At 37.6% G+C, this 20878-nt stretch overlaps 2 long non-coding RNA genes across 2 annotated transcripts; both read right to left on the minus strand.

Annotated features, from left to right (window-relative positions):
- Positions 1-1282: 1282 nt before the first annotated feature.
- On the minus strand, positions 1283-5007 carry LOC124904188 (uncharacterized). Its single transcript, XR_007066109.1, has 2 exons — positions 2345-5007; positions 1283-1681 (listed from the first exon to the last, which is right to left on the minus strand). It is a non-coding gene; the product is annotated as an uncharacterized LOC124904188 (long non-coding RNA).
- A 5130-nt stretch (positions 5008-10137) lies between these two features.
- LOC124904187 (uncharacterized) lies at positions 10138-19173 on the minus strand. The gene is made up of 3 exons (XR_007066108.1): positions 18502-19173; positions 14865-15116; positions 10138-12785 (listed from the first exon to the last, which is right to left on the minus strand). It is a non-coding gene; the product is annotated as an uncharacterized LOC124904187 (long non-coding RNA).
- Positions 19174-20878: the final 1705 nt, after the last annotated feature.

Consider the following 20878-nt stretch of genomic DNA (forward strand, 5'->3'; position numbering starts at 1 on the left):
AGGCAATCATAATGAAATGGATAATCAAACAGAGGGCTCTAAGGCACATTTACAAAAGCCATCACCTCAGAAATGCTTCATTTACCCAGACAGTGGGCAGCAGAGGGCATGGGAAAGTCTGTTTCTATGGACAGGGAAATGATTCATGTCAATCAGCTCGAGAGTCCCTCTTCCAAAACACGTTATATGTAAGACATAGCATAATAAATTGCCCCAATAAGCAAACAGTCAGGATGCATCACATACCTTGGAGGGGCTGAACCTATGCTAAGGACTGAAGGTGCTAACATGAGTGAGACACCGGCCTTAGAGCCAAGATGAGGGTGAGGTGAGCAAGGCACTTGCCTCCAGAGCAAAATTTTAAGAGATGTCAGCAAGATAAATAAGACTGTAATGCAATATTTTTAAAGAATCAAAATTAATGCCAAAAAAACCTATGGTGCACAAAATATCAAAACTTTTGTTTGCTTTTACCTTTGATTATTAATTAAATATGCATTTAGACTATGAAAAACTTTAAGAAAGCCACAAAAAGAGCAAAAAATAACAATGTTAACCTAATTGTAAAAGGAAGCTTACACTGAATGTGGAAAAAAAATTAGTAGCAAAAGCCATATGAAACAAAACAATTATGAAAATAACTATTAATGTTTTAAATCTCTCCTTTTTTAATAGAAAACATTTTTGCTAAATATTTTTAATTTTTAAAAATAGACATTTAGGGATAATAGGTTTGCTTTAAAAAATGAGACTTATATTACCCTCTAAATAGAATCCTTTAATTTGAAATTTGAGAATATTATTGAGAGTCAAAAAGTATTCATTTCCTTTTATCTAAAAATCATACTTTAGGAAATCTGTCATAGATATAACCAAAATATAGAAACAGCATCATTTGTAACTTGAAAAATAAATTAAAACACCCCCAAATAGTCCATTATCCAATCATTAAAAATGATGTTGATAGAGACCAGGCAATGTTAAAAATAACTACTTAATAAGCATAAATACATATATACCACAGTAATGACTACATAAAAATTGCATTTAAAAAGCTAAAAGTAAATACACTATAATTGTAATAATAATTTCATTTTGGTGGTAGAAATCCGGTTTTCCTTCTTTGTTTCTTTTTTTATTCTTTATTTCCTTTCTTCCTTTTTGTTTTTAGGAATTGTATTATCTATTGTATTTTACATTGTATATTGTATTGAACATTATTTATTATACTGTATCACTCAGGGTCCAGGCACGAAACAAACAGGTGGTATACTCAAAGAAATAGCTCAAAAAGTATTTAATTACTGGACTATTTTCAGAGCTGTGGCAGGGTTAAGGGAAGTAACAAGAGATGACAAAATACACCTGGGGTCTAACAACAGCTGGGAGCTGTGGCTACTCCTAGGTCAGAAGTGGAGAAAGCAGTTTCTGGAACCAGGAGAGAACTGTAGTTATAGGTGGAAGCTGTCCAATAGGAAGAACCATCACTACAAAAACTGTAGTATGAGATGGGAATAAATATTCCAATCTTTCTCTCCTCTATCCTTCCAGTCTTCTACTAGTGTCTTCCATTGGCTGAACTCAGCTGAACACTACAGGGTAAAGAAGCCCAGATGATGCTGTCTGTTGAAGTCAGTTTCTTGAAGCACAAAGCAGGTAAGGGGAAAGGTGAAAAGTGGATCTGGAGGAACAAACAGGATATACCCTGCAAAATCATTGATATTACTATTTCTAAAATAGAAAAAATACACAAATTTAAAAAGTGATGGCATTTGAAACTTACTTCTGTCATCAAATGTGATAAAAATAATTCCCATCTAATAAAATTATTGGGTAACCTTGAAAATCAACAATGTCTGTTAACTTTTTGTCCTTATTATTATTATATACATGTTTATGGTGATGATGGTGGTGGAGGTGATGGTGTTGGGGTGCTCATGGTGGTAGTGATAATGATGCTGGTGATGGTGATGACGGTATATATAATGGTGATAGTTGTGATGACGGTAGTGGGGGTGGTGGTAGTGGTGTAATGATGGTGGCGATGCTATACATGTTGGTGATGGTTGTGATGGTGATAATGATGGTGGTGATGGTAATAGCAATAGTGATGGTGATAGTGGTGTTAGTAGTTGTGTTATTGATGTGCTATTCTTTTACATAAACTTTGAGTTTCATGTGATATCAGATGCTATCTTTAAGTGATATATGTCTCTATTCAAAGTAATGCCATTAGACACATCCACTTCTCCTATGAGATCAGGGATGATCAGTTGGTAAAACATGGCTCCTTCAGGGCCCATCTCTATGAAAGATCTTTAATCCATAGAAAAATTTAACTCACCCCAGGGTACATTCACTGAATAACTACTATGTGAGGACTTCAGAATGAATGGAAGTGCCTATCTTCATAGATAGGATTTGCGGCCTGAGAACAAGGACAGGAGTCAAACATACAATACTATAAACACGGCATCCTACACTGTGATTATCTTCCTCACAGAGTGCCTAGCACATATAACCTTGACAAGTATTTATTTAAGAAATGCATGAAGGCTGTAAGAATTATTATAGAAGTCCAAATCAACTTGATTTTATAGAGAAGATGATATTGAACACTTAACTAATCTAACTACTTCACATCTTTTAACTCAGTAAGTATTCTCAAAAGTTCTATGAAATAGACATAAATATTATTCCCACTTTACAGATATGGCAACTGAGACAATGATTAAGCAAATACCTCTAAGTTGTATAGCTAGCAAGTGAATAACTTGGAATTCACCTCCACCACCATCATCACCATGAACATGTATATAATAATTATAATAATAATGACAATCTCCAGGTAATCCCAGTTCTAGAGCATGGGCTTTTACACTTAATTTCCTCCAAGAAGGCTTTATGGTGGAGGAGGTGGAATTAGAACTGAGCCTAGAGGAATGGGTAGTAACACAAAAACCCCGGGGAAGGCCATTCAAGGGCAAGGAAACAGCAATAAGCAAAGGCCCACAGAAAAACCATGGAAGTAGTTTGAATGACATTCTCAGAAATGCCCTTCAGGGAGGATGATTGGGAAGATGATCTGGAATTCAACTTGCAGATGGAATGGAGGGAATCATGCTTGGAACAATGAAATAAACAGAAAACAAGCTGGAATAAATTACTTTATATTCCTTTTCTTCTTTCCTTTTTTTTTTGAGATGGAGTCTTGCCCTGTCACCCAGGCTGGAGTGCAATGGCGCAATCTCGGCTCACTGCAACCTCCACCTCCTGGGTTCCAGCGACTCTCCTGCCTCAGCCTCCTGAGTAGCTGGGATCACAGGCGCACGCCTCCATGCCCAGTTAATTTTTGTATTTTTAGTAGAGACGGGGTTTCACCATGTTAGCCAAGCTGGTCTCGAACTCCTGACCTTGTGATCCACCCGCCTCGGCCTCCCAAAGTGCTGGGATTACAGGCATGACCCACCGCACCCGGCCAATTACCTTATGTTCTTTCGGGTCTTTGATGGATGTTCTGTTTGCTTCAGAGGGACTCCTATCCTGGATTACCTTCAAGGTGAGCAAATAATGGTGGGGGCGAGGGGGGTGGTGCGGGGAGGACACAACTCTTCAGATTTGATGCTGTTTTGTCACAAACCTGATCAGTGATCTCAGCAATCAAGATGCAGAAATGAGTCATAGCGATAGCACTGTTCTGTACATGGGAGGCAGTGTCGTTGTGGGCAAAGGAAGTCTTGCACTAGGGAGCAAGAAGGACCAACATGGGAGGGCCCTCTCAAGCCCAGGTGGGAATTCAGCCCAGAGGCCTGGTGCAGCTTCACAGGAGAGCACAGCGGGGCTGCAGCGCAGGCCAAGTCTGGGAAATCTCTCTGCAGTTTCCTGTTCCCCAGCTGTATTTTATTGGCCAAGCCCACCTGCCCCAGCCCTCCCCTTTTCTAATACACCAAAAGTCACAGCAGCACCTCTGATTGTTTCTGCTACATTAAAACTGGCTGGAAAATGTGAAAATTCCCTCTATCTCAGGAGAGCAAGATGAATGAGTACAGGGAAGTTATTTTTAAATCTCCTCAAAATAAAAACAATGTCAGAGGTGGTCAGGAGAATGAAAGAAAAGTAAATAAATAAATATCCCAGGCAAGGAAAGGCATGAGAAGAAAATACTATGTGTTTTTATTTGGCTTGGTTTCTTTCAAATAAAAATGTTGTTTGGCCAATATTCTGAGTGAGAATTTCTTTTTTGGCAGTGAGTTGGCTGTGTTGAGGCTCTCTTTGCAGATCACCAGAGCACTTCAAACCCGGCACAGGATGTGAAGTGTGGTTACCTGCATTAAGCCTCACTGTCAGCCTAGGCCAGGCATGTGGTTTGAATTCCTCCCCAACTTTCCTTGACTAGTCCATTTATCTTCTTTGACAGGTAGTCCTGAGACTCTGTTCTAGCTCAGCCAAGTTGTTTCACTGTATGCTTGCCTCAGTTTCCTTGTATATAAAATGGGGCTACAATGGCTTGCGCAGCAGCCCTCTCCAAAGTGAAGGAAGCAGACCTCCCCTAGAGGGTGGGAGGCCAGAGAGTGCAGGGATGGACAACTTACAGGTGCATGGGCAGGAGGTGGGCATTTTCAGATGGAGCGTTTTAGGTGCTCATAGATGGGCCAATTAGCACCTTCCAGTTACTGCTAGGTGAGGGAAAGGTGAGAATAAAAGGATATTCACAACCTATAAAAATACAGGCCGGGCACGGTGGCTCACGCCTGTAATCCTAGCACTTTAGGAGGCCAAGGCAGGTGGATCACTGGAGGTCAGGAGTTTGAGACCAGCCTGGCCAATATGGTGAAACCCCATTTCTACTAAAAATACAAAAATTAGCCAGGCATGGTGGTGGGCACCTGTAGTTCCAGATACCCAGGAAGCTGAGGCAAAAGAATCGCTTGAATCCAGAAAGTGGAGGTTCCAGTGACCCAAGATCACGCCATTGCACTCCTGCCTGGGCAACAGAGTAAAACTCTGTCCATATACAAAAAGTATATATATATATGATATATATATATCATATATATATATCATATATATATGATATATATATATGATATATGTGTGATATATATGATATATATATTCATATATGACCTATCTATAGGAGAAAAAAACAAAAACTAAATATATATTTTAATTACCTTTACTAGGGAGAAACACACTAAATACAAATAAGGGGCCCATTCAATAGTAGTGGTGTGATAGTCATGCTTGAAGAATTTTATTTTTATCCATTCCTTTATTTAATTTTTTAATAAATACTTAGTAAATGTCTCCTGTACTCTCAGGCACTAACTTAGTACTATATATATATGTATGTGTATATACATACATATATATATATATGGAAAAAAAAACAATGACTGATGCATCTCTCTCCCAATGGGTCTTACATTCCAGGGGAGAAGAGAGACTTTAAGCAAAAATAAATAGATAAGTAAATAAAAATTCTGATAGATACTATAAAGAAAAAAATAAACTCCTCTGAAGAAAATCTCAGGGGTCCACTTGTGATTGTGGCATTTGAGCTAAGATCTGAAGATAGCAGGAGCTAGCTATGTGAACAGTGGGACAGAGAACATTCTAGGCAGAAGAAATGTGATGTACAAATGCACTTGACAAAGAAGATGCCAATGCATTTGGAGGTCAGGGAGCCGAGGTCCAAGATAGAGCTGGATAGGCAGGAAGGAACCAGATCATGCAGGGATCTGTAGGGGATGTTAAGATCTGTGGATTTCATTTTAGCTGTAATGGGGATTTGCAGAAGAGTTTTAAGCAGGGAAAAAAGAGAAAGTTTTAGGAGAGTGAAAATAGTGGGGCCAGCCAGGAGCTCTCTGAAGAGACGTGAGGTTGACGTGAACTAAATGGCCACAGTGGAAAGAGTTGGAGGCTCCAAGTTGTATTTAGGGGTAAAATGCAAAGGACCTGATGACTCATTGCATGAGTAGTAGCAAGGTTGAGAAGGTGGTAGGACAAGCTCCCAGAGTCCCAGTTTGAGCACTTGCATGGAAGAATGGTATTTACTGTGAATCAGTAAGCTGCTTTGAGGAGCTCACAGTCCAACCTTCAGAAAAGACTATTTGCCATGCAGATGCATATGTGCCATGCTTGAGGAATATGCAAAGCATTACATGAGTAGAAAGGAAGGAGACTATGAACCAGCATGCAGTTAGAAGAGGAGGCATCATACAAGGGGCACCCCTGGAGCTGTCACCTGAAAGACAGAGAGTGTTTAACAGATGGAAGGTAGAAGGTAAGTCTTTCAGGAAGAGGAAGAGCATTTAAAAAATATATAAGTAAAATTCCTGGCTGGGCGCAGTGGCTCACACCTGTAATCCCAGCACTTTGGGAGGGTAGGGTGGGGGTGGATCACGAGGTCAGGAGTTCAAGACCAGGCTGGCCAAGATGGTGAAACCCCATCTCTACTAAAAACACAAAACTTAGCCAGGCATGGTGGCAGCTGCCTGTCATCCCAGCTACTCAGGAGGCTGAGGCAGAGAATTGCTTGAACCCAGGAGGTGGAGGTTGCAGTGAGCCAAGATCATGCCACTGCACTCCAGCCTGGCCAACAGAGCAAGATCCCATCTAAAAATAAATAAATGAATAAATAAGTAAAATTCCCAATCTTACAGAACTTTTGAGATAATTTATGTGGAAGTACCTAAAACCATGTCTTGGATTTCATTGATGACGCTTACACCACTGTCACCAACCTGTCCAACAACAAAGGTTGTATGTGTAAATCTCATTCCTCTCCAGCCAAAGGGAGAATAAAATTCAAATAGACATCCCTGCCTCTTCCTTCCAAACCTAAGATATGTATATGAAATGATCAACATTTGCTCACCTGCAGGGCTGTTGACTGAAGCTTACAAAAAAGGAATTGATTTGTAAGTCTGGATGGTTTTATGTTTTGCATTTTAAAATTTTATTTCTTTATGTTTTAAAGTTAAGGTCATTTTTTAAATTCCTGCTCTCTCCATTTGTCTCTGTACATCCCTTGGTAACTTGCACAGGGCCTAGCACAAGGAGGTGTTCAACAAATATAACTAACAAATATGAGTCAGTAGAGCACATATAGGGGTCTCTGTCTCCTATTTTCCAGGCACTGTATTAGGTCAGGGTGTGCAGAGATAATTAAAGCAAGGTTTCTCTTCTCAAGGTCACAGACATAAATCTAAAGAAAAATATATGCATATACTTATATGCAGTGTGATAAATATGTGGAAATAAATATATATAGTCTCTCTTCCACTCCTTGACAAAATTCAGAAGTTAAAAGAATACAGCCAAACCAAAATATTTTTAAATTTATAAGCATTTGCAGGCTTGAAATCTCCAAAGCAAAGACTTGAGGGTACAAAAATCAGACTAAAGTGCAGTGAGTGGAATTCCTTGAAGTTACCCATAAATATTCGTCAAGCCTTTCTCCAGTCCTATACCTACTCATAAATCCCCGTTTCATTTCAAGAACTTTTACATTTGATCAACGATGCGGAGTGATGTTTAAACCAGGCCATTTGGAATATTCAATTTTCATACATAGTTTTAAGATTTTAATTTCCACTCTGCATGCCAGCTCAGATTTTCCCTGTCCTGAAATAAATCAGGATTTTCAAGACATGAAAGCAGGCTCCAAGTACAGAAGGGCTTTCTAAACGTTCAGCCTGGTTGCACTGCTCAGTCAAGTCATACTCACAAACAACTTACCTCTCACCTCATCTCAGCCCCGGGGGATGGATGGAAAACTGGCAGCAAAGCTGGTAAGAGAAAAATACCCAGCACTCAAGATCAATATGTCAAAAAGAGGTGAGAGCCATTCATCAAAGGAGAGAGGGACAAACCCAAAGATGTTCTGAAACATTTACCCAACCAATCTGAAACCAATTGGCCCCTCCACTTAATCTCCTCTTTCCACATCTTGCCAGTGGCCACAGAGATATGAAGGCACAGCTAGCTCCTAGCAATACAATGCATGATGTATACAGGATATTGCTAATATATCATAGAATCAGAGCATGCTAGAACTGAACGGGTCTTTAAGGCTCATTTAGCCAACTGCCTGGTATAGAGAGGAAGCACTGGGGAAGCAGAAAGAGCCCTGGACTTGAGGTCAGACCAGAACAGGTTTCTAGACTCCACTCTGTTATTTTCAAGCTGCATGATCTTAGGGATGTCACTTTAACCTTTCTGAAAATTATATTCCTCCTCTGTCAAAAGGGAAAAAAGTTTTATTCATAGGGATTCTTATATGATAATATAAGAAAATGCACCTTGGAAATTGCACTGAACATATACATGGGTGAGAAAATATTATTATTGTAAAGAACCCAATAAATGCTACTTGAATCCAATCAATAGTAGTGTAAATACTTTCTTACCTGAACCTTCACCTAATGATCTGATAGAATATCCAATAGCTTCCATTCATTTTGTAAAAAATTTAAAGTTATGCCTACAGAATAGAGGGTGTCTAGTGCTGTTGGGTTAGTGTTCAGCATGCCAGAATCTTATCTCCCAGCAGTACAGTGATATGCTAAGCAAAAGTCAGTTGTATTTGTCCTCATTGTCCTCTGTTGTATTTTTTAATGTAATAAGATTGAATGAAATATCATGTAAGCTAATAAAATGTGAGTTTTTACACTTGATCTTAGCCAAAAGGCTGAGAAACGATAAAACTTGAGGTTTTATAAAGACATTTGTATTTATATGATAAAGTTCATACAACTATCTCAATACAAATATTTAATACAACTGTATCAAGACCAGTAATTAAAGTCAACTTGGTAAAAGACACTTGTCAAATTAGTCATGATAAAGACCACGGTAAAAGATTGGAGGAAAATTATAAAAAACTAAAAGGCTTAAACATTCAAATTCCCTCCAAGTGCCTTTATAGCTTGCTTCACTTTAAAGAACCTTAAAATTGTAGAGGTTATGGGTACAATCACTCAAGAGAGTTGGCTGATATTCGGCCATCAGAAAAGGAAACCCTGCAATATGCAACAGCATGGATGAACCTTGAGGATATTAAGCTAAGTGAAATAAGCCCATCACAGAAGGACAAAGGCTGCATAATTCCACTTATATGAGGTATCTAAAATAGACTCATAGAATCAGAGGGTGGAATGGTGGTTGTCAGGGGTTAAGGGAAGCAGGAAATTGTGAGTTGCTAATCAATGAGCATAAAGTCTCAATTATGCAAGATGAAGAAGTTCAGAGACCTGCTGTAAAACATTATCTCTATACAGGTATATACAGCAATACTGTACTGTACACTTAGAATTTTGTTTAGGGGGTAAATCTCATGTTAAGGGTTCTTACCATGATAAAACAAAATTTAAAAATTAAAGAGAAAAAGAATTAAAAAGAGAGAAATAGTCAACTGGCCATTCCAGTCAGTAGATCTACAGGCAAAGCAAAAGCCTTAGCCCTATATTGAAAGATTGTTATATCAATTGCACATTAATATGATTCCCCTCCTAACTAAAGCTAATAAACTAAAGCTAATATTGTTATATCTATTGTGTATTAATATGATTCTCCTCCTAACTAAAACTAACCAGTGGTCAGTCCTAACTGACTTGTAGTTAATTATTTGTTGATGTTTATATATCCAGTTATCTGCCGATCTATAGGAGCCCTGAATATAATTCGTATTTAATGCCAGTTCCTTGCCATTGAGGAACCCACAATCTAGTTAGACACTAATGAAATGTAAAATGCTTTATAATTCAATTAACATAAAAGTTATCTTCAACTCTCCTCTGAGTGCAATAGTACCAAAGAGAAGACTAGATTTTTCAAAATATTTGAGGAACTGTTGTGTCTATTTTCTACCAGGTTTTGTCTGTTACTTCACCAGTTATCTCCTTATATTTCCTTCTTATCAATTCACCTTCTCACCATAGAGAAAGTTCTCAATTGGTATAAAAGGTATGAAAGAAGGGCTTTGAAGATGAGATTAAATAATAGAGAAAAATCCAGGAGGCAGAAATAAATTGAATAAAGGCCTGGGAAGTAGATAGGAGGGTAAAAAGACTTGAATGCATTTGTTCTCATAAACATTTTTTTTTTCTCAAATCTTGATTCTTTTTTTTTAACTTTTATTTTAGACTCAGGTGAACATGTGCAGGTTTATTATATAAGTAAATTGCATATCATGGGGGTTTGTTATACAGATTATTTCATCACCCAGGTGTTAAACATAGTACTCAATAGGTAGTTTTTCAATCCTCACCCTGGTCCCGCCCTCTACCTTCCAGTAGGTCCCAAAGTCTGTTGTTTCCTTCTCTGTGTTCATGTGTACCCAATGTTTAGCTCTCACTTGTAAGTGAGAACATGCAGTATTTAGTATTCTGTTCCTGCATTAGTTTGCTTAGGGTAACGACCTCCAGCTCCATCCATGTCCCTGCAAAGGACATGGTCTTGTTCTTTTTAAACCTGTGTAGTATTCCATGGTGTATATGTACCATATTTTCTTCATCCAGTCTACTGTTGAAGAGCATTTGATTCCATGTTTCTGCTATTGTGAATAGTGCTGTGATGAACATATGCATGCATGTGAATTTATGGTAGAAAATTTACATTGCTTTGGGTATATACCCAATAATGGGACTGCTGGGTCAAATGGTAGTTCTATTTTAAGTTATTTGAGAAATTGCCAAACTGTTTTCTAAAATGGCTGAGCTAACTTACATTCCCACCAACAGTGTATAAGTGTTTTATTTTCTCCACAGCCTTACCAGCATCTGTTATTTTTTAACCTTTTAATATTAGCCATTCTGATTGGAGTGTGATGGTATTTCATTTTGGTTTTGATTTGGATTTCTTTAATAATTAGTGATGTTCAGCATTTTTTCATGCTTATTGGCTGTGTGTATGTCTTCTTTTGAAAAGTGTCTATTCATGTCCTTTGCCCAATTTCTTTGGTTTTGATTTGGATTTCTTTAATAATTAGTGATGTTGAACATTTTTTCATGCTTATTGGCTTGTGTGTATGTCTTCTTTTGAAAAGTGTCTGTTCATGCCCTTTGCCCAATTTCATTTGGTTTTGATTTGGATTTCTTTAATAATTAGTAATGTTGAGCATTTTTTCATGCTTATTGACTGTGTGTATGTCTTCTTTTGAAAAGTGTCTATTCATGTCCTTTGCCCAATTTTTAATGGGATTGTTTGTTTTCTGCTTGTTATTTTGTTTAAGTTCCTTATAGATTCTAGATATTAGAAGTTTGTCAGATGCAGTTTGAAAATATTTTCTTCCATTCTGTAGGTTGTCTCTTCACTCTGTTGATTGTTTCTTTTGCTGTACAGAAGCTCATTAATTTAATTAGGTCCCATGTGTCAATTTTTCTTTTTGTTGCAATTGCTTTTGGCATCTTTGTCATGAAATCTTTGCCAGGACCTATGTCCATAATAGTTTTTCCTAGGATTTCTTCTAGGTTTTTTATAGTTTTAGGTTTTACATTTAAGTCTTTAATCCATCTTGAGTTGGTTTTTGTATATGGTAAAAAAAAAAAAAAAAAAAAAAAAGGGTGGGGGGGGCGGTCCAGTTTCAATCTTCTGCATATGGCTAGGCAGTTATCTCAGCACCATTTGTTGAACAGGAAGTCTTTTCTCATTGCTTGTTTTTGTAGATGTTGTCAAAGATCAGATGACTGTAGGTGTGTGGCTTTATTTCTAGGCTCTCTATTCTGTTGCATTGGTCCATGTGTCTGTTTTTGTACCAGTACTATGATGTTTTGGTTATTGTAACTCTGTAATATGGTTTAAAGTCAGGTAACGTGATGCCTTCAGTTTTGTTCTTTTTGCTTAACCTATTTTTCACTATTCAGGCTCTAAAAGTTCCATAGGATTTTTGAATAGTTTTTTTTTTTTTTCTAATTCTGTGAAAAATATCACTGGTAGTTTGCTAGGAATAGCACTGAATCTATAAGTTGCTTTGGGCAATATGGACATTTTAACAATATTGATTCTTACTATCTATGAGCATGTAATATTTTTCCATTTGTTTATGTCATCTCTGATTTCTTTGAGCAGTGTTTTATAATCTTGTTGTAGAGATCTTTCACCTTCTTGGCTAGCTGTATTCCTAGATATTTTGTGTGTGTGACTGTTGTGAATGGGACCTCATTCTTGATTTGGGTCTCATCTTAGACGTTGTTGATGTATAGAAATGCTACTGATTTTTGTAAATTGATTTTGTATCTTGAAACTTTGCTGAAGTTGTTCTCATAAACAAAAACACATAAGTTTTTCAGGCACTTAGGCACCTTAACCTCACTGTCAATGTGCCAAATCTAATCAGCAGGCTTGTTTAGCCCACACAGTGGTTTTTTGTTGTTGTTGTTGTTGTTTGTTTTTGTTTTTTTTTTCTGGAACCAGTTGACATTATTTATTTATCCATAGACACATAAATATAGTATCATCTTTATATATCAGACTTCATGCACAGATCAGCAGTTTCTCCTAAAACATCAGAAAGTCCAGCAATACCAGCATTCCCACATGGCAGCAATGAGCAGATACTTTCCTATATAGCAGCTCTTCCCTGCAGATGAGACAGGATCTCTCCCATATGTTAGGCTCAGCTCACTTCCTGGTTGCTGGTGAGCCTCACTCACTTATGTTCCTGTGAGCACATGTAGGCAGTTAAGGTTTGATCCTTTTTACCTTGCAGCTTCGTGATACTGGGTCCCCGCCCTGAAGTGGCTGCAGAAAAATAGGAAATGATCCAGGTGGCAGGTGAAACTCTGCAAAGAAAGGGCCATGAGAATGACACAGAAATACATGCAACCCAGACACCTTTCAAAAATATCATGGGAATCAGTGAAATATTGTGTTGAGGGGAAGGAGAGGCAAGAGATTAATTTTAGAACACCAAGAGAAAGGTGATGGGATAATTAGGGAGAAAAACAGAAAGGGATGGAGAAGGAGGAAGAAGAGAGGGAAGGGGACAGGACGAGAGGAAGAAAATATTTATGTAGCTGCTCTGCCAAGCATTTTTACATGAGCAGGTTTCAGGGGAATATTGTGAGATAAATTTTGGATGTAGTGAGTTTTGAAGTCAGTGGAACTTCCAGAGATGGTGTCTAAAGGGCAACAGACAAGAAAACAGGAAGATCATTTCTTCAACAATTCTTAATAATAAAAGTAATAATGATTAAAACATCTAATCCATATTGAACGTGTACTCCAAGCCAGTTGCCATGCTAAACATTTCCCATGTATGAGCAATCTTATGTAATCTTCCCAACAATTGTAAGAGGTAACAACAACAATAATAATAATAATAAAGCCAAAACAAAGTACAGAGTTACTATGCCAGACATTGCTTTGAAGGTTCTACACATACCAGGGGCCAGGCGCAGTGGCTCACGCCTGTAATCCCTGCACTTTGGGAGGCCGAGGCGGGCGGATCACGAGGTCGGGAGACCGAGACCAGCCTGGCTAACACAGTGAAACCCCGTCTCTACTAAAAATACAAAAAAAAATTAGCCGGGCGAGGTGGCGGGCGCCTGTAGTCCCAGGTACTCGGGAGGCTGAGGCCAGAGAATGGCATGAACCCGGGGGGCGGAGCCTTCAGTGAGCCGAGATCGCGCCCCTGCACTCCAGCCTGGGCGACAGAGCGAGACTCCGTCTAAAAAAAAAAAAGAAAGGTCTACACATACTAACTTATTTAATTTTTGCAACAGCCTTATAAGATAGGTATTTTGTTATTGTCTGCATTTTACAGATGAAAAAAAGTTAAAATCAAGAGGAATCAGGTGACTTTCCCAATATTACTTAGCTAGTAAGTACTAACATTGGACTTCCCACTCAGGTCTTTTTGAATCTGTAGTTTAACTGTTGAGCCATTACAGTCTACTAGCACCCTGTACCAGGCACTATATTTGTCACTAATGACTCAAAAAATAAAATAAGATAGGCAGTCTCTACCCTCAAGGAGCTCACAGTCCATTGAGAGAGACAGCCATGTGCACAAATGCTACAGGCTAATATCCAAGTGTACTCTTAGAGATATGTAAGTACTAGATGCTATGAAAGTGCAGAGGTAGGGGAGCTGAATCTACAGGTGGGAAAGGGGGGTTGTCAGGGACTGGCAAATAAGTCTTCACAAAGGATGTAGCACAAGGTGGCTGATTCTAAAAAGAGGAATACAAATTTTCTAGTCAGGGAAGAGAGAGAAAAAAGTGAAAAAAGGCATGGAAATATGAACGTTTAACTCATCCTTGGGGAACATAAAGATGTCCTGGATGGCTGGGAATTTGTAAAGTGGAAAAGGGCAGAAGAAAATAACAATATAAGAGCAGATGGAAAACAGACTGTGGAGGCTTTAAGCGCCAGGTTAGGCAATGAAAGGATGTAGGAAGCTAGTATTTCTTGTGAGCACTGTTATGCAAAAGGTGTGGACTTTGTGTTGACGGTAATGGGGAGAAATTGAAAGAGAATAACATACTCAGATGTGTATCTGAAAAAGGTCTCTCTGGCAACAAGGCAACAAGGTGGACACTGGAATGTGAAGGTGCTAGAAGACTACAGAAAGTGTATTTAGAAGAATGGCAGCAGCCTGGAAAAGCAAGGATGGGGAATGAACCCAAGGGGTCGAGAAAAAAGGAGAGATAAAGAGAAATTGTAGAATTTTGAGATTAACAGGTTATGCCTTTGGAAGTGAAATACATCTTCTGGCTTTATATTAATCATTTAAAAGATAATCTAATGGGATAACTTCCACAAATTTAATTCATCTTTACTATGCTGAATAAATTGTTTTACTCAATTGAAAGGCAAGTTGCTATTTTTATCTTTTTATATTTGTATCCGTGATCTACCTCTTTCCATAAAAGATTTGAGGAGTCTGGAAAATCACCAAGTGAAATGCAGTGTCTGATGGCAAGGGGCTTCTTACTAGAAGAACCACTCTGGCAGCATAAATCTGTCAAGTGAGACAGGTTCAAGTTGAAGATATCAAGAAACATCCTCTGCGTCAGCTCCAGACTCCAAGTTGCTGTCCCTTCCTTTCTCTGGTGAAACAAATGGTGAGAAAATGTCCAGTTTGCTCTGCTGCTAGACTGAGCCTTTCTCTGGGAAGAGGAAGAAATATTGAAACTGGCAATGGGTTTCAAACAGAGCATGCACACCCTTTCCTGAAGACATTTAAAATTACATATGAAAACATGTAAATAAATCAAAACCTTAAATGAGGCAACACTTTATTCTTAAATCAGATAAACTCTAAGCCAAGGTGAACCTCTCAAAAACAACTATATATTTAGTATAATGTATATTTATATATTTATAAACTCACGATTGTGCACAAAGCATTTTATTTTTTTGCCTCCTTAATCTCATTTAATTCTTGTATAATAGCCTTCAAAAGAGGCTGGAAAATAATTATTAATTATCTCCATTTTACAGATTAAAAAACTGAAGTTTAGAGGTTGAAGTGACTTTTTGAAACTCATACAACTTTAGTTGTTAGTGATAGACTTAGGTCTAAACATCAATTTTACTAACTCTAATTTTAAGGAAAATGGGAGCGTTATAAAGATAGTAAGAGCTAACATTTAGAATAGTTACTATGTGTCAGTCAATATGCTTTGTGCCTAATGTGCATTGTCACATTGAATTCTGTGTTTTTGTTTTTGTTTTGGAGATGGAGTCTCGCTCTGTCGCCCAGGCTGGAGTGCAGTGGCGCAATCTGGGTTCACTGCAAGCTCCGCCTCCCGGGTTCATGCCATTCTCCTGCCTCAGCCTCCCGAGTAGCTGGGACTAGAGGCGCCAGCCACCATGCCCGGCTAATTTTTTGTATTTTTAGTAGAGACGGGGTTTCACCGTGTTAGCCAGGCTGGTCTCGATCTCCCGACCTCGTGATCCGCCCGCCTCGGCCTCCCAAAGAGCTGGGATTACAGGCGTGAGCCACCACGCCTGGCCTTCACATTGAATTCTGAAACCACCCTATGATAGAGGCAGTGTAACTGTTCCCATTTTACAGATAAGGAAGCTGAAGCTAGAGGTAATGACTAGACCAAGGTCATATAGATAATTATTGGAGGAATTGAGGTCAAACTCAGGCATTTGGTGTCAAATCTAGCTCTTAACCAAACAAACATCTATTTAAATTCTGCCTTGGCTAGCTATTAACTACATGTTCCTGGCCAAATTATTGCAATTTTGGAGCTTCTGTTAAGTTTCATATATATATAACCTGGTTTGGCATCCTGCTCTTAGTAGGCCACCAATAAATGTTAGGTTCCCTTCTTTCAACCACAATGCATTGTCACTAGTAATTTTTATGGCAGAAGTAATCATGTTAGTTAATCTAACATCCTAAAATGGCAGCACTTGTGTTGACAGCCAGAAGAAAACCAGGGACTATAACTTAAGCTCACCTTAAAGTCGTATTTTACTGCTATTCTCAAAATTTGCTCCCTGGATTCTTAAGATGTAATTAAAATTTTCTGTTAAGGAGGAAACAAAAACTATGCATGTCCATAAAATTAATTATCTTGCCAATAAAAGCCCGTTTCTGATGGAATTCCTAAATGACCTAAGTATATTAAATCTGAGTTACTTAGTAATATCATAGTTTAAAAAAATAAACTCTTGTTAAGCAAAGATTGGTTCCAGAAAATTGTCCTCCAAACACTGCAAGCTTTAGAACTTTTAAAATGAGTCACTTGAATTTGAAACTATGCCATATTTGAAAGTCAGAGCTCTGGTATAAGGGTTACAACTCTGTCAGGTAAAAGTGCTTCTTTTTAAAAATAAAATAATTTTTGTATTTATCCCCATCACAAGAAGAAAAAATAATATTATTAGACTACATTGATTTTTTAAATTGCAGTTACCAAAAACAGCTGTGTATTCATTTATATACATAAATTTGTATTTCATAAATTTATATTTTACTAATCCTAAAGCTATTTTCATACACTTGTTTTAAAAAAGATAATATTTCGAGAAACTACATTTTTTCCAGTATACAAATTCTTGTGCCCACATGGATTTATGAATCCCTTCCAAAAAAAATTTCTAACATCCCACAATGATCCACAGGATGGAAACCACTATTCGAAAATATTACAACTAAAAGGGACATTTAAGGTTAATATAAACCACCTTAATACCTACTGAACATGTCCCAGCTTCAGTTTGAATCCTAGGCACGTGTTGTCTGTTTGAACATACTCAAAGACCTGAGAGTTGGGGGTAGCTGGACTTGGCATGCCCAAAGAGACAGGGGTGTGGTAAGTACCTCATGAGTTGGCCTATCCTGCAGTGGAGATATTAGGAAACCCTTTAGAAGGAGCTTATATTTGCTTAAATCTCTCCTGTCCCCTAAATCAGTGAGAGTCTGATCAGGAAAATGAAAACTACACTAATTATTTCAAACAAGGGTTGGGAGGGAGGATTTGATGCAGGCACTTGGTTCCAAAAGCATTCGAAAGCAAAGGAAGCCAAAAGGGGGTTGTAAATAATCCCAGAGATTAGTAACTTCAGGAAGCTGCTACCACCAGTAGGGCTGGAGGCACAGAAGGATGGAGGTGGTGTTAGCAGAGCCTAGGAACACTAACTGCCAACTCTGCTGCTGCGGGGTCAGACAGCAGCTACTGCTTATGCTGCTGTAATCACAACTGCCCGACTTACTGATATCACTGAAGCCCATGACCTCTGGCCATCACTAGCAATCACCCACCAGATCTACTGCAGCCAGATCTACTGAAGGTGGCTGGAGTACATAGCCACTCAGTTCTGCCAGTGGCAACAGCAAAAGCATAAAGAGAAGAGCAATGACCTTCCTCTCTATCTGTCTCCCTGCCCCAGTTCTAGCTCTGCTTTGCATGCAGTCTGCTGCTGTTACCTCCCACCGGTGAAACAGAAAGGGAAGCCCACCATCAAGGGAGTCTGGGAAGTGTACTTTGCAGAAGCCTAGCCCCTATGATACAGAACAGAGCATGGAAAACTTGGAAAGGAGCTGACAGCAGTCAGTAGTTGGTGCAGTCTAGCCCTTTAGTTACTCAGATTCTTTCTCACCCTTTTAGCCATATTTAACTTCCATTGATAACAGAATCATGGCCCTGCACGACATGATGTACCTCTTCCTCATACAAAAATTCTCTCATCATTTTCAAAAACTGAGAAGCATAAAGCCCTGTCAGCCACCATTTCCATGATTCACAATTCTACCTAGATATTCTATGACCTAAAAAAACTAAATTATAAAGGCAACTACCACCAACACTGCTCATATAAAATATTAAGAGTAAGGGAAAAAGAAAAAATAATTTGTTTATATTATAAATATATATATATACACACACACATATATATATAAAATGCAAGATAGAACATGGATATAGCTGCTTTGGTTTTTGTTTCTATAATGGATCATTTACTCCATAGTTAATATTTATCCACATTCCTTTGCCCTTGGCCAGTTCTCCAGTAAAGAGACCCAAAGCTCACCTATTATGTCCGATCACTGTTAGCCCTCCTAAATCTTGATGCTGCTTGGAGGCAGCAGTACCATCCAGAGCTAACCCTGGAAAATGAGAAGACTATGATGGACAGCATCCTCAGTTTAAATCAATTTAGACTTGGATAAGAGCTCTCCATTTTTGATGTTCAGTGAATAAATAGTTTTACAAAATGTTGGCAATTTCAGTTAGGTTATTTTCTTTTAGAATATGGACATATTTTTACCATTTTACCAATATGTTTTGTTTCCATCTACTATCTTGTTAGTTTTCTGTTTATCCCACCTGGTTTTTTGGTTTCTTTTTTCTACTTTTTCTGATTTTGTTTGGATGAATTATGCAGGATCTGTGTTACATTTTATCTTTTCTAGTGATTTATTAACAACAACGTTTAGTTTTATTTATTTTGTAGTTTTGTTAGGATTTACAGTATGCCTCTTTTAAACACTGACTACCATCAAATAATATTCATCAAATATCAAATAATATATAATGTAAGAAACTTAAAAGAGTAAACTATCATTTCTGCCCGCCTTACTTTGTGATCCTCATCATACATTTCACCTCTGCATATGTTAACTATACAATGTAGTTATTATTTTTATTTAAATAATTAATTTGCCCTTAAAGATACTCTTTTTAAATGAGAAAAAAATGTTTTATACTTACCCATGTATTTACTATTTCCAGTGATGTTTCATTTTGTAGATCTCAGTTTCCATCTGGTATCATTCACTTTCATACTGAAGAACTTCCTCTACCATTTTTTATAGTGCAGGTCTGTGGATGACACATTCTATCACCTTTTGCTTATTTGAAAATGTCTTTGTTTTGCCTTCCATTTGTGCATGTTGTTTACTTTTTCCATTCTGCTAGCATTTTAATCATAGTTATTTTAAATATCTGGTTTGATCACTCAAAATTTCTGCCAGTCTGAGTCTAAGGCATGCTTTCTCTCTTCAGACAGAGTTTTTGCATTTTCACGTCTTCTAGTTTTTTGCTGACAGCCTGAGAGGATGTATCAATTAGAAGGAAATGAAGTAAATAGACCTTTTGTGTGAGGTTCAATGTTGATCTGGCTAGGAGTTACATTGTGTTTGCCAGTTGCTATAGCTGTACATATCAAAGGCTAGCATTTTCTCTGGGTGTCCTTGTTTTAGTCTTCCCTGTTATTTTTAGATTTCCCTGGAGACTCTTCCTTAAATAGGGTCTGAGGCTTACAGTTCTTTGGCTATAATGCCCTGTTATTATACAGTAGCACAGTTGATGTTGTGGAAAGTGGTACAGGCTCCAGCACCAGGCTTCTCCTCCAAGGCTTCCTTCTTTCTTTAAGCTGAATTCTTTGTATCTTCCTGTCTCTAATATTCAAGGTAGTGGCTTGCCCTGTTACCTCAATTTTAAGAAGAGTTGTGGATTTCCAGTTTTTTCAGATTTTTTCTTATTATGAGAATGGGAGTGATAACCACAAATCAGAAATCTCATTGTCTTCTATTTTCAAAGAATATTTTTCCTGAATGTAAAACTTAGTTTGACATTTTTTTTTTTACTTTTCACACATTAAAGATATTGTTCTGTTGTCTTTTGTGCATTGGTATGATAAGAATTCAGCAATCATTGTTTTCTTTTTTAATTTTACACATAATGCATCTTTTTATCTTGCTGTTTTTAAGGTTTTCTCCTTATTGCTGATTTTCAATAATTTGTCTATGATGCACCTTGATATTTTCTTTGTGTTTGTCCTGTTGAGATCCTTGGGAAAAAAAAATGGCAATTATTTCTTAAATAATTTTTCTTCCCTCCTTTTTCTGGGTCTCTAATTATATAGATATTATACTATTTCATATTTTCTCAAGGTAATTGAGGCTCTGTTTATTTTTTGTCTTATGTTTCTTTTATCTACATGTCTTCAGTTGGTTAGTTGCAAGTTTGCTAATCTTTTGTTCTGTTGTTAAGTCCATCAGATGAATATTGTATTTCAGATACTTCATTATTCAACTCTAGAATTTCCATTTGGTTATTTCTTGACTCATTGTGTTTATATTATTCTTTAGATACTTCGAAATATTTATAATAGCAATTTTAGAGTTCTTGTCATCTAATTACATCATCTCTATAACTTTTGGATTCATTTCTACTGACTGATTATTATTCCAGATATGGGTGACATTTTTCTGTTTCTTTGCATATCTAGTATTTTTTATTGGATATTGGACATTGTAAGTTTTACATTATTAAATATCTAGATTTTGCTGTCTTCCTTTAAAGAATGTGACAGCTTGTTCTGTTCGACATTTAAGTTGCTTGTGAATCAGCTTTTGCTTTCACATATTGTTTTTAAATCTTGTTAGAGTAAGTCTAGATTTAGA

This window comes from Homo sapiens, chromosome 1, assembly GCF_000001405.40.
Source record: "Homo sapiens chromosome 1, GRCh38.p14 Primary Assembly".
NCBI classification, from domain to species: Eukaryota; Metazoa; Chordata; class Mammalia; order Primates; family Hominidae; genus Homo; species Homo sapiens.